Source organism: Homo sapiens, chromosome 1 (assembly GCF_000001405.40).
Source record: "Homo sapiens chromosome 1, GRCh38.p14 Primary Assembly".
NCBI lineage: Eukaryota > Metazoa > Chordata > Mammalia > Primates > Hominidae > Homo > Homo sapiens.
In genome coordinates, this window is record NC_000001.11 from 19,685,064 (window position 1) to 19,698,609 (window position 13,546).

General features: G+C 51.7%; 1 protein-coding gene across 16 annotated transcripts in view, besides 1 other annotated feature; it reads right to left on the reverse strand.

The window, feature by feature from the left end:
- Positions 1–13,546, reverse strand: part of TMCO4 (transmembrane and coiled-coil domains 4) — a 117,677-nt gene that overhangs the window by 2,824 nt on the left and 101,307 nt on the right. For all 16 annotated transcript variants that reach the window (NM_001349112.3, XM_011541185.4, XM_047416926.1 and 13 more), the window contains one exon: positions 9,371–9,488. In NM_001349112.3, the coding sequence (NP_001336041.1) occupies positions 9,371–9,488 (118 nt within the window). The remainder of the gene's footprint in view (positions 1–9,370; positions 9,489–13,546) is intronic.
- Positions 3,985–4,499: an enhancer, noted in NCBI's record as "NANOG-H3K27ac-H3K4me1 hESC enhancer chr1:20015541-20016055 (GRCh37/hg19 assembly coordinates)". NCBI's record gives its function as "activates a minimal SCP1, AML or CMV promoter by ChIP-STARR-seq in naive H9 embryonic stem cells {active_cell/tissue: H9 hESC(naive)}" and the evidence as "EXISTENCE:reporter gene assay evidence [ECO:0000049][PMID:30033119]".

Below are 13,546 nucleotides of genomic sequence, written 5' to 3' on the forward strand. Positions count from 1 at the left end.
TCTATAATCCCAGCACTTTGGGAGGCCAAGGTGGGAAAATCACTTGAGCCCAGGAGTTTGAGACCAGCCTGGGCAACATGGGGAAACCCTGTCTCTACAAAAAAATACAAAAATTAGCTGGGCATGGTGGCGTGTGCCTGTAATTCCAGTGACTATGTAGGCTGGGGTAGGAGGATGGCTTGAGCCTGGGAGGCTGAGGCTGCAGTGAGCCCTGATTGTGCCGCTGCACTCCAGTTTGGGCGACAGAGCAAGACCCTGTCTCCAGAAAAAACAAACAGACAAAAAACATTAGCAGGGCCTCTGTTATATGGGTCTGCATCTTAACTAAGACAAAGGCCAAGAACTCAGAAGTGGCCACCCCCTTCGTCAGAGTCATACGTTCATCCCATTTTTGTGTTGGGATATGTTGGTGAGCAACAAGTAGGGGTGTGATTGAAATGCCTGATGCCTAGATGTAATAATGGACAATGCCTGACACGTAGTAGGTCCTTAATACATTGCAGCAAATAAGCTTCTTGGATATACTCCTTTGCTAGGTGTCGGCTGCTCACTGTAGATGAAATTGAGCCACACGGAGGTAAAGTGACTTACCCAAGGTCACACAGCTAGAACTTGGCAGGGCTGGGATTTGAATCCAGGCCTGTTTCTTTTTTTTTTTTTTTTTTTTTGAGACAGAGTCTCGCTCTGTTGCCCAGGCTGGAGTGCAATGGTGCAGTCTTGGCTCACTTTAAGCTCTGCCTCCTAGGTTCATGCCATTCTCCTGTCTCAGCCTCCCGAGTAGCAGGGACTACAGGCATCTGCCACGGTGCCCGCTACCATGCCCGGCTAATTTTTTTTGTATTTTTAGTAGAGACAGGGTTTCACTGTGTTAGCCAGGATGGTCTTGATCTCCTGACCTCATGATCCACCCACCTCGGCCTCCCAAAGTGCTGGGATTACAGGCGTGAGCCACTGCGCCCGGCCATCCAGGCCTGTTTCTAAAGCCTGTTCTCTTCAGAGAAAATCAGCTGGGGAAGGAAGGAAGGTTAAAAATCATCCTCACTTTACAGAGAAGGGCAGCAAAGCCCAGAGAGGGGTGGCGGTTTGCTTAATGACACACAGCGCATGAACAGCACAGTCTGGTGCTGAGCCTGAGATGCTGCCTGCAGAAGCTGCTCAGCCTGGATCTGCCCCTGAGATGGAGTCTCACGTTATACCCAGCCAGTCGAGGGGGCCTGCTTTAGTGCCAAAGATGCGCATGAGACCGGACTTTCCTTTAAGGCTGAAGGGGAAGGCTTTCTTTTTAAAAAAAGGACAGGAAAAACACCAGGGAGGCTGTTGTTGGGAATCTCAGAAAACAGCACAAAGACACTGCTGGTAACATCTGCATTTCCATTTGAATTGCAAATCACACTGTATTAATCAAATGATTTTTCAAAAACACGAAAAGACAATTCCCTGTACAGTTTTGTTATTTTCTCACCACTAGAATCTGCCCACCTCTCGTTCCTTTCCTCACGAATGCTTTTAAACAGATTCCAGGGAAAATACACACACGTGTATTCACACATCTAAGTGGTTTTCAGGGCCCTGGGCTCAGGGTGGTTGTCAAGGCACAGCCAGTGCCCCTCTGCAGCAGGACACATATTTAGTGGCTGCAGGGCCTGAGAAGGAACCTAAGTTTGGACTCTCTGAAAAGCTGGGGTACCAGCCTTGGCTCTGTCTCTTACCAGTAACTGGGCCAGTCCTCACAATTTCCTGAACCACAGCTTCCCCATCTGTAAAATGAGAGTCATGACCTTGAATGATTGCTATAAGGAGTTCAAGGGCCTGGCACTTCATAGGAACTCAGAGAATGCTAGCTTTTGATATTATGTTCCTATATGATCCAAAACACTTTTTGTTTTTCTTAATTTTTTTTTTTTTTGAGACGGAGTCTTGCTCTGTTGCCCAGGCTGGAGTGCAATGGCATGATCTTGGATTACTGCAACCTCTGCCTTCCAGGTGCAAGCTATTTTCGTGCCTCAGCCTCCCAAGTAGCTGGGATTACAGATGTGCACCACCACACCTGGCTAATTTTTGTATTTTTAGTAGAGACAGTATTTCACCATGTTGGCCGGGCTGGTCTCGGACTCCCAACCTCAGGTGATCCGCCTTCCTTGGCCTCCCAAAGTGCTTGGGATTACAGGCGTGAGCCACTGCACCTGGCCTTTTAAATTTTAAATGTAGAGATGGGGACTTCTTATGTTCTCCAGGCTGGTCTCAAACTCCTGGGCTCAAGAGATCCTCCTGCTTCAGCGTCCTAAATTGCTGAGACTATAGGCATGAGCCACGATGCCCTGCCCCAAACACTTTTAAAGAGACATCATGCAATTTGAGTTAGTGATACCTACCTAAAGGAGTTGCTGGGAAGAAATAATACAAACCATGAAGCACAGTGCCTGGCACCCCAGGAGGTACTCTGTAAATATGAGTTCCCTTACCTTAGTTTCCTACGAGTGGGGGATGGAGAGTAGGGAGTTAGCTGGGCTGATCCATTTGGGAGCCCAAGATGGCTGCTCAAGCTCCAGCCATCACATCTGAATTCCAGCCAGCAGAAACTTCAGACCCACAGGGACAAGTGATAACTGCCTCTCTAAGGACAAACAAGAACTGCCTCCCTATACCTTTTTAATGTTGTAGATGGCTGGTGCCAGTGCTGGGTAGAAACAGGCCAGGAAGGAAGGGAGGTGTTGGTACCCACTGGCTGCAGCTGATACCAGATGGAAATTCCACTGAGAGCTGTCCTAGAACACACAGCTCTGGCCCTCCTCGACTACAAGTTGGTCTGGGTCTCAGGCAACCCTAGTCCCTGAGCCACCCCTCTGCAAAGACCCAGGGGAGCAGTTGCTGGGCAGAGCTCTGGTTTTACAGTTAGCTGGAGAGATGAGAGAAGAGGGGTGAGGCAGGTCGGGAAAGAGCCTCTTCTCAGCACCAGAAAGTTCTGGTGTAGCCGATACTGCGTGAAGATTCAGCCCCTGACCATCTCCCAGGCTGTCTTGATTGAATCTGCCAGCTGCCTGGATACACGCCGGATGTGACTGGCGTGCAGAAGCCTTCCGTGGCTTCCCGTGTTGGCAGGGGCCTCTGTGGACACCCTGTGATGGCACTCATAACCTGTCATCGTCACATGCTCATGAGGTTGCGTTCCCTGATAAACTGAGCGCAGGGGAGCAGAGACCACTTCTCACTCACCTCTGTGCCCCACAGCCAGCCCCGCACATCGTGGGGTTTCCGTGGGAACCAGATCCCTGCAGGTACAAATGGGGCCCAGCCCTTCCTGTTTCCTGCCTCAAAAGACACCCCAACTTACCCAAACAGAGGCTGCCATCACCCACCTCCATCTGCCCCAGTGACTCCTTCCAAGCCCATCAGGCCCCTTTGGGTTCTTTCACTTCTTGGACCTCAATTTCCTCATGTATAAAATGAGGCTAATAAAGAGACCTATACCACGTGGGCTGGCTGTGTGGCTTTGATAATACATGTAACAGGCTTATTGGCACAGGGTTAGAGGCCACTACCAGAAGCTACAGAGATGTGTGAATGCAGGCAGTACTGAAGCAGTGGTTAACAGCCCAGGTTCATCCGGCTCTACCACTCACATGCCGTGGCACCGCCTGCAGCCTCAGTTTTCACACCTGTACAACGGGTTACTACCACTATGCAGGACCTCTATGAGGATCAAATGACTTACCCCGTAAAACATGTGAGTTGTTGGCTACTGCGGTTATTATCAAGTATCTACTTTGTGCCAAGCCTTTTGCTAAGTTCTAGGCCACCTGGCATTTCTGCTGGGACATGGAGAATCTTGCCGTGGGTTGGATCTCTGTGCCCCAGAAGCCTCATGAGTTGGTCCCTGGGGTGGCAAATCCCCCACCCACTGTAACCTTGTCCCTGTGAGGAGAGACTGAGGGGCAGGAGGGCAGCTTCATTCACCCCAGAGATGCGCCCTGCCTGCAACAGGGCCAGCCCAGTGGGATGATCACAAAGGGCCCTGCTGCGTGGTTGGCCCAGCAGGGAGAAGACAGGTCCTGTGGGTCTCTGTTGGGAGCAGAGGGTGGCCAGCATTTCCCCAACAGCAGTAATGAAACCTCCCTTGCCAGCAACTTCTCCAGCAAAGCATTTTCAAGGAAAACAGGAGGCCAGCACAAAGGCAGTGCTAATTACCTCTAATTACCCAGAAGAGGAAAGCACTGTTTTTTGTGATGTACTCCTAATGTGATAAAGAGCTATTATTAGGCAGGAGCTGGGAAGCTGCCACGAAGACAGCCTGAGGAGGGAGCGGAGTCTCCAAAACTGCTGGTCCCAGAGGCAAACAAACTGGGGGTGGTGGCAGGGGCAGGCCGGGAGGGACTAGGATTAAAGGAGGGCCTACTATGCACCAAGCATCTTACATGCGCTGCCCTGGAAGTTAGGCGTTTCCACCATTTCCTAGATGAGGACACTGAGACACAGAGAGGTTAAGTAACTGGCCCAAGGTCACACAGCCAGTAAACCAGTGGCAGAGCCAGGATTCTAAGCCATGCCTCTCTGGTGCCAAAGGCTGTGCTCTTCCTACCATATCCCATTCCCAGTAGAAATCAGATCTTGTGAGGGCTTTGCAGCATTAAAAGCTACTTTCTTCAGCAGATGCTTTTTATCTCTGATTCTTCTGGCAAAGGGAGACTCCTGGGGTGCTGAGGCACAAAGTCCCTGCTCCCTTTCACCCCATTCAGGGTGCAGGCACCTTGAATAGGACAGAGAGCCCTGGACATGGGTCAGGAGGCATCAGCTCTGAGCCCTGTTGATGGTGACAGGAGGCAGCCAAATGCCTAGGCAGACGGGGTGGGTCCCTGGTGAAACCCCACCTTCAAGCCAAAAAAACAGCCTGAAGGCTGAAAGACTGGACTGCTGGTCCCACATGAAACCTGTGACCCAGAGTGAGAACTTCTGTTCCTGTTTGCCCACACTTCCCCTATTCTGAGCCCATAAAAGCCCCAGACTCAGCCACATTGTGGGGACTTTCCTGCCTTTGGGTAGGGGAACCATCCACTCATCCCCTCTCTGCAAAAAGCTGTTTCATCACTCAATAAAACTCCTCGCCTTGCTCACTCTTCAATTATCAGCGTGTCCTCATTCTTCTTGGATGCTGGACAAGAGCTTGGGACCCACTGAGTGTGGGTACCCAGAAAGGCTGTCATACTGGCCTTTTGCCCTCATCAGTGGAGGGCAGCTGCCCCACGTGATGGGGTCAGGGGCCGACTGAGCTGTTAATACACCACCGTCTATTGGGCCGTCAATGGTGGAACTAAAACAGCTAATTAGCACACTAACGCCCCCTCTGGGGCTTCAGGGTTGTGGGTACCCCTGCCCAGGTGCTGCCACTTTCCCCTCGAGGCAACACGCCTGGTCTGGCCACAGGCCCAGCATGGAGCTTGCTCTTGTGTCGGTGTTTGGAGTGGTCAGCCAGAGCCCACACTTGCTCATTCATGTGCTTCCTCCTGCAAGGGGCTGAGTGTGGTGGACCGAGTAGATGGGGTGCCCCTGCTGCAAGTGTGGCCAAGGGGCTGAGAGAAAATTCCTGTCACTGTGGTTTGCTGGTCTTGTGACTCAGCTTACCTCATTCCCACAGAGAAGTGGGCAGCACAGCTTCCAAGCTGGGCTCAGAGTCCAGACCTACAACTCTGGCTATGACTCCATGCTCCCAAGTCTCAGTTTCCCAATCTATGATCTGGGGATGCTTAATACCTCCTCTAGGGAGTTGCGAGGTTTACAGCATGTGAGCCAAGTCTATCTGTGAAGACTCTTTTTTTTTTTTTTTTTTTTGAAACAGAGTCTTGCTCTGTCACCTAGGCTGGAGTGCAGTGGTACCCTCTCGGCTCACTGCAAGCTCCACCTCCTGGGGTCATGCCATTCTCCTGCCTCAGCCTCCCGAGTAGCTGGGACTACAGGTGCCCACCGCCACACCTGGCTAATTTTTTGTATTTTTAGTAGAGACGGAGTTTCACTGTGTTAGCCAGGATGGTCTCGATCTCCTGACCTCGTGATCTGCCCGCCTTGGCCTCCCAAAGTGCTGGGATTACAGGCGTGAGTCACTGCACCCGGCCCCTGTGAAGACTCTTTAACCAGGAGCAACCAGTTTCATAAATGGATGAGCCTAGAAATGACTCTTATTCTACCCCAGTCCCCAAAGCTCCCAGTTAGGAAGGCACAGGGTGGCTTCATTTGTGATCCTCTGGTGGGTTAGGAATTTTGTCTTAAGGCCCTGGAAGTTTAGGGGTGAAGATACAAGTGAACTGGCCCCAGCGACCTGGTGTCAGGCCAGGTGAGAGGCCCAGGTGACCTCTGGGCAGGGACATGGCTGACAGACTTTATGGACAGCAGCACCTGGTGAAGTTTTGATTTTGTTTTTTTGTGCAATAATTCCCCCATGTTATCAAATGCTCAGTCAAGTCTCAAAACACATGCAGCCCAGTGTGAGCCACACTGTGGTGGCACGGGTGGGTCTGAGGCCTAGCTTCATTGGCCATTGAGATGCAGTGGTGGAGTGATCAGAACAGGCAGCTGCTGATCCTGAATGGGGAAGCCAGAATGCCCCTCAAACCAGGGGATTTTTAGATGCCCAGAAAGGAGTCTAGTCTGTCTGCAGGAAGCAGCTGCTCAAACAACCATGAGTGGAAACTGGGTGATATGGTTTAACTGTGTCCCCACCCAAATCTCATCTTGAATTGTACTCTCATAAATCCTATGTGTTGTGGGAGGGACCCAGTGGGAGATAATTGAATCATAGGGGTGGTTTCCCCCAACCTGTTCTCATGGTAGTGAATACGTCTCCTGAGATCCAATGGTTTTATAAGGAGAAACCCCTTTCACTTGGTTCTCTTCTCTGTCTTGCCTGCTGCCATGTAAGACGTGCCTTTCACCTTCCGCCATGATTGTGAGGCCTCCCCAGCCACGTGAAATTGAGTCCATTAAACCTCTTTTTCTTTATAAATTACCCAGTCTTGGTATGTCTTTATCAGCAGCGTGAAAATGGACTAATACACTGGGTTACATGTGGGAAGCACTTGGCACTTGATAAATGGCAGCCAGCAACATAATAACTAGAAACCAAAGATTTTGTTCTCAGGGTCCCCTGATTGCTGAAGTCGGCTTGTGCTTGTAGTTACAGCTTATTCCTTATTCCTCCCCTCCCCGCCTCCCCCTATGGAGCACCTCTCCCACTGGTTCTCATATCTACCTGGGCTGGGGCTACATCTATTGGCTTCAGACCTGGGTTTGAGTCCTGCTTTGCCATGTTTCAGCGGTGTGACCCTGGAATGTCTCTAAGCCTCAGTGACCTTGTCTGTACAATGGGGACAGTAATGTCTGTAAAAGGCTTAGGGCAGGCCGGGTGTGGTGGCTCATGCCTATAATCCCAGCACTTTGGGAGGCCAAGGCAGGTGGATCACCTGAGGTCAGGAGTTTGAGAACAGCCTGACCAATATGGCGAAACCATATCTCTATTAAAAATACAAAAAAAAAAAAAAAAAAAGAATTAGATGGGCGTGGTGGCAGGCGCCTATAATCCCAGCTATTTGGGAGGCTGAGGCAGGAGAATCGCTTGAACCTGGGAGGCGGAGGTTGCAGTGAGCCGAGATCGCGCCATTGCACTCCAGACTGGGCAACAGGAGTGAAACTCCACCTCAAAAATATAAATAAACAAATAAATAAATAGGCTTAGGGCAGAGCGGGACATAGAGTGAGTGTCCACATGGGAAGCTATTAATTCCCTAGGATAGCATGTGGCAGGTGAACGAGGTTCTTTCAAGTCTAAAAAAACTGAAGTTGGTCAGGCACGGTGGCTCACGCCTGTAATCCCAGCACTCTGGGAGGCCAAGGTGGGTGGATTGCTTGAGCTCAGGGGTTCAAAACCAGCCTGGGCAACATGGTGAAATCTTGTTTCTACCAAAACTACAAAAAATTAGCTAGATGTGGTGGTGCACACCTGTGGTCCCAGCTACTCAGGAGGCTGGGGCAGGAAGATCACTAGAGCCTGGGAGGCAGAGGTTGCAGTGAGCCGAGACTGTGCCACTGCACTCCAGCCTGAGCGAGACCCCATCTCAAAAAAAAAAAAAAAAAAAAAAAAAAAAAAAAAAAAGGCCAGGCACGGTGGCTCATGCCTATAATCCCAGCACTTTGGGAGGCTGAGGCAGGCAGATCACCTGAGGTCAGGAGTTCAAGACCAGCCTGAGTAATATGGTGAAACCCCATCTCTACTAAAAATACAAAAATTAGCCGGGCATAGTGGCAGGCTCCTGTAATCCCCGCTACTCGGGACACTGAGGCAGGAGAATGGCTTGAACTGGGGAGGTGGAGGTTGCAGTGAGCTCACACCATTGCACTCCAGACTGGGCAACAGAGTGAGACCCCATCTCAAACAAAAACAAAAAGAAAAAGAAAAGAAATTCAAGTTGGGTTTGTGTGGCTGCCCAGCAGGTGCCCTCCCACTCCATTCACTGCAAGAATTCTTTCTGACCATCTGCCCCTGCACCCCAGCCTAGTTTTAGCTGCATGGGAACCCTTAGGAGTATGTTTAAAATGTGGACTCATGGCTCTGCCCCTAGAGACTGATGTAGAAGTTTTGGGCAGTGGGGCCCTGGGCTCTGCATTTTAAAGATTCCCCAGATGTCCCGCTCTGCATCCCATCTTTCCACAGCCTAGCAGGCAGGTGCTTCTGCTTTTGGTCTAGCCTAAAGCCCTCCACCTGTGTCCCCTGCTTGCTCCAGCTGCTTCTCGCAGAAACATACAGTCCTGACTAGTGAGCTGAGATGGGGCTGTTGGGGAGCCCTGGGTGGGGGGGACTCGGGAGTGGGGAACGGCAGTAATACAGGAGCAAGAGTGAGGGCTCTGGAGGTTCAAATCCAATCCTGTTCCTGTTAATTGCTAGTTGTATATCTATGTGTGTTTTTGCTTTTTAGAGACAGGGTTGTGCTCTGATGCCTAGGCTGCAATGCAATGGCACGATCACAGCTCACTGCAGCCTCCATCTCCTGGGCTCAAGTGATCCTCCCACCTCAGCCTCCCAAGAAGCTGGGACTACAGGCACGCACAACCATGCCCAGATAATTTAAAAATTTTTTATAGAGATAGGGTTTTGCCATGTCGCCCAGGCTGGTCTCAAATTCCTGGGCTCAAGGGATCTGCCCTCCTGGGCCTCCCGAAGTGCCGGGATTACAGGCATGAGCCACTGCACCTGGCTCCAAATAAATTCTTATGATCTTTCTCCTGTGGCGTGGACCAGGCTGGGGCCACTGTCTCCAGGGGACAGGGGTGGCTGGGCTGGAGCAACTAAGCAAACGCAAAGCCCCAGGAGGAACAGGCCGACACTCACCACAGAGGTCAGGTCCACGTTCTCCACCCTCCTGTCCTGCAGCAGCACGGGCTGTAGGCCGGCGACACGGAGCTGCACCGAGGATGTGCGGTACACGAAACTCAGCAGCCAGTCTCCCCTGTGGGAGGGTAGAGAAGCATGTGAACATTAGCACCAGCCTCGGACAGCCCAAGGACAGGACGGGCCAGGCTGCCTCCTGGGGAAGCCAGGTGGGAATGGAGCTTCTGGGGGAAAACAGGGCCCCTGATTGCACGGTGGGGATGGAAGATGAAGCAGCCACAGCTGATGCTTTTGGAGCCTGGCCTGGGTGCCAGGCATGGTGTGCAGGGCTATGCACAAGCACCAGGTAGCTCCATGAAGGCGGCCTGCTTTGTTCCCAGCTGGGTCTCCAGAGCTAAGAACAGTGTCTGGCATGCAATAGAGGAATATCTGCTGAATGAATGAATGAATGAGGAATCTGGATAAAGTTCTCAAAAAGTCACCATGTGGCTCAGGAGAGCTACTCCCAGCTCGGGAAAGGTGGCTTGTCCAGGGCTCCCTGGAAAAAGAAAAGCAGAGAAGGTCCACCTGTGAGGAGGGGAGGAACTCTGGGGTCTAGGCGACCTATCTGTGAGCTGAAGGGACCAGCTTGGCCTTCCCAGGACAGGCTCAGCCCAGGCTGCAGGTCTCCCTGCCCTCAGGCAGCAGAGGAGGCGAGGGTGGTTGTCCAGGCAGTCACAGCGCTGGGAACATTCCTCTACTTTCAGGGGTGCTGTGACCCCACTCCGTGAACCTGGCCCCAGCCAAACACTGCCCCTACACTATCCAGAAGAAATGACCTCGGACCCTCTGCTGCCCATTGCTTCAGGTGCAATGAGCACTGTCTACAGAGGACATGGTCTGAGGGGCCCCTTGAAGCAGCCTTCCCTCGCAAACCCTTGAACTGTCTTGGGATGCAGCTGGGCCATCCCAGAGCCATGCCCTCGGGCCTTGCCGCCCAGCAAGTCTGCGCACAGGCAAGCTTCTGTTCTCCCCTCTGCACCCCAGGCTCAGATCCAACTCAGCCCATTCTGCTGTCTTTTATGTGGACTAAATACATGGTGTTATTTTTGCACACTGGTTGATCTGAAAGAAGGGTCCTCCCTCACTGTAGAGGGATAAGAATGGCTGAGAGATAGGAGGCTGGGGTTGGAATCCTGGTGGCCCTGTCTATGTGCCCTGCTGTGTGACCACAGGCAAGTCCCCCACCTGTCTGGGACACAGGGCATGGTGGTGCTCTCTAGGCTCCTCCAAGCTCTGACCCTCTGTGGTCTCTGAGCACCTGGGTTTGTGAGTGGGTACCACTCTGAAAACCCCCAGGAGGACTGGGTCCCTGAGCTAAGGGGTCCTCTACAGACTCTCCTGCTGTGTCCCGAAGTGAGATCATCCGTCCCTAACTCCTTCCCCACTGTAATCTGCCCAGTCCTTCAAGTAGAAACCAATGTCTTGGGTGCCTCCTCCCTATGGCCAACGTATCAGAGTCCTCCCAGTTCTTCCTCCCCTCTCCCCTCCAATACCTGCCCCTTGTGGTCAAGCCCTGAGAGCAGGCAATCCTCCCTCCCCGCCCCATGGATGAATGCGACGGCCTCTGCACCGCACTCCCTGCTCCTGGCCTCACCTACCTTGAGCCACTGGAGTCTTCCTAGAACACCCATCTGACCACTGTGCTCCCTTATAAGCAGACCATAGCTCTCCATTACCTATGGGCTTTCTCATCTAGACAATTCCTTCAGTCTCTCCAGAGAGCAATGCTTTCAGGTACCGATGATTATCCTAATATTGAGGGTCCAAGAAGCACTGTCTAAGAATGGACGGTTGCAGGGCGCGGTGGCTCACGCCTGTAATCCCAGCATTTTGGGAGGCTGAGGTGGGAGGATTGCTCGGGCCCAGGCATTTGAGACCAGCCTAGGCAACACAGGGAGACCCCATCTCTACAAAACACACAAAAATTAGCTGGGCATGGTGGTGTGTGCCTGTGGTCCCAGCTACTTGGGAGGCTGAGGCAGGAGGATCATCTAAGCCCAAGGCAGTTGAGGCTGCAGTGAGCCATGGTTGTACCACTGCACTTCAGCCTGGGCAACAGAGTGAGACCTTGTCTCAAAAAACAAAAAACAAAAAACTAAAATAAAAAAAATTAAAAAAAAAAAGGATGGCTAGAGGGAGAAAAGGGAGATCAATTCAAGTTATTTTATTGAACTATTTATAAGAATCCAGTGCATCAAATACTGGATATGAGGATGGTCAGGAAATGTTTCCAATACAGCTGGGTATAAATGAGCAAAGACAGCATCATTCCTCCAAAATTATTTCTGTTGTAATTATGACAACATTTTAGTTAAAATGTGAATTACATGTATTTATACACATGTAGGGGCAGAGCAGGAACACAGATTAGAAGGTTCTGTACCCTCTCACTGTGCTGAGCAAACCATGGGCCTTCACTGGCATTCAAGACCTTCTCCACCCGGCTCTGGACCATACAGAGCCAGGTTCATTTCCTGCCTTGTCAATTATGAGCTGTGTGACCTTGGACAGGTTGCTTGACCTTTCTGAGCCTCAGTCTCCTCAGGTTATCTTAGCTTTCAGCATTGGCGGGAGCATTAACTGAGGGGGGACATGTATACACAGGTGTTCAGGGAGCCGCGGGCATGACTATTAGCGCCTGTGCTGGACGTGTGTGTGCTGTGCCGCCTCTCTCTGGTTCAGTCTGTGCTTCCGGTCTCTGATGGGTTCCTATAGCCATCCTTTCAAAATTCACCTTGGACATCCCCTCCTCCAGGGAGTGCCCTGGGCCTCTCCACCCAGTACTATATATATACGTTTTGAGACAGGGTCTTGCTCTGTTGCTCAGGCTGGAGTGCAGTGGCACGATCTTGGCTCATTGCAGCCTCTGCCTCCTGGGCTCAAGCCATTCTCCCACCTCAGCCTCCCAAGTAGCTGGGACTACAGGTGTGCATCACCATGCCTGGCTAATTTTTGTATTTTTTTGCTTTTGTTTTTGAGACATAGTCTCGCTCTGTTGCCCAGGCTGGAATGCAGTGGCACGATCTTGGCTCACTGCAGCCTCTGCCTCCTAGGGTCAAGCCATCCTCCCATCTCAGCCTCCCAAGTAGCTGGGACTACAGGCATGAGCCACCATGCCTGGTTAACTTTTGTATTTTTTTTGAGACATAGTCTCGCTCTGTTGCTCAGGCTGGAGTGCAGTTGCATGATCTTGGCTCATTGTACCCTCTGCCTCCTGGGCTCAAGCCATCCTCCCACCTCAGCTTCCCAAGTAGCTGGGACTACAGGTGTGCGCCACCATGCCTGGCTAATTTTTGTATTTTTTTTTTTTTTTTTTGTGGACACAGGTTTTGCCATGTTGTTCAGGCTGGTCTTGAACTCCTTCCTGGGCTCAAGCGATCCTCCTGCCTTGGCCTCCCAAAGTGCTGGGATTACAGGTGTGAGCCACTGCGCCTGTCCTCCATCCGAAATGATTAATCATTCACCCCTTGTGTGCCTGGTACTTCTTCCTTTTATGATGTTTGCCACACATCTCCTGTGTTTCCCCTTTTCTAGAAAAGCAGAGAGCTCCCTGAGGGCAGGTCTGTGCCTTAGTCATCCCTGTATCCTGAGCTGAACCGGGAACTCGCTGCCACTCTCTCCCAGGCCCTCCAGCCAATGCTGATGTGCAAGCCCCAGGCTGAACAACTGCCACCTGCTGAAGGCAGACATGGCTCACTCACAAGGCCTCGAGCCACCTGTGGGCAGGGGTCCTCCCTGCTCCTTCTTCTGTCATCCCTTCCTCACATGGCACCTGGGGCAGAGCCCACAGGGTGGCCTCTTGTCCTGGGTTACAAGGAGCCCGCCTGAGGACTCAGAATGTGGCCCTCTCACGGTGGGGTGAGACAGGCCTGAGCTCATATCCTGGGTCTGCCTGTGGGTCCCTGGGCAAGTCACTTGCCCCTTTTTGAGTTTCACTTCCTCAGGGATGTGACAGGCAGCAGTGCTATCACCTCAGCTAGCTTCCAGAAGGTTCGTGAATAGCCCAGGTAAGGGAGTGGATTTACAAAGAGCTTTATTCATGTAAATTACACATGAGTAAACTTGTGTAGTTGGGTAGGGTTGGCCTGAATCCCCATCCCTCTTACCCTCCATGTTTATGTTCTCAGCAGCTAA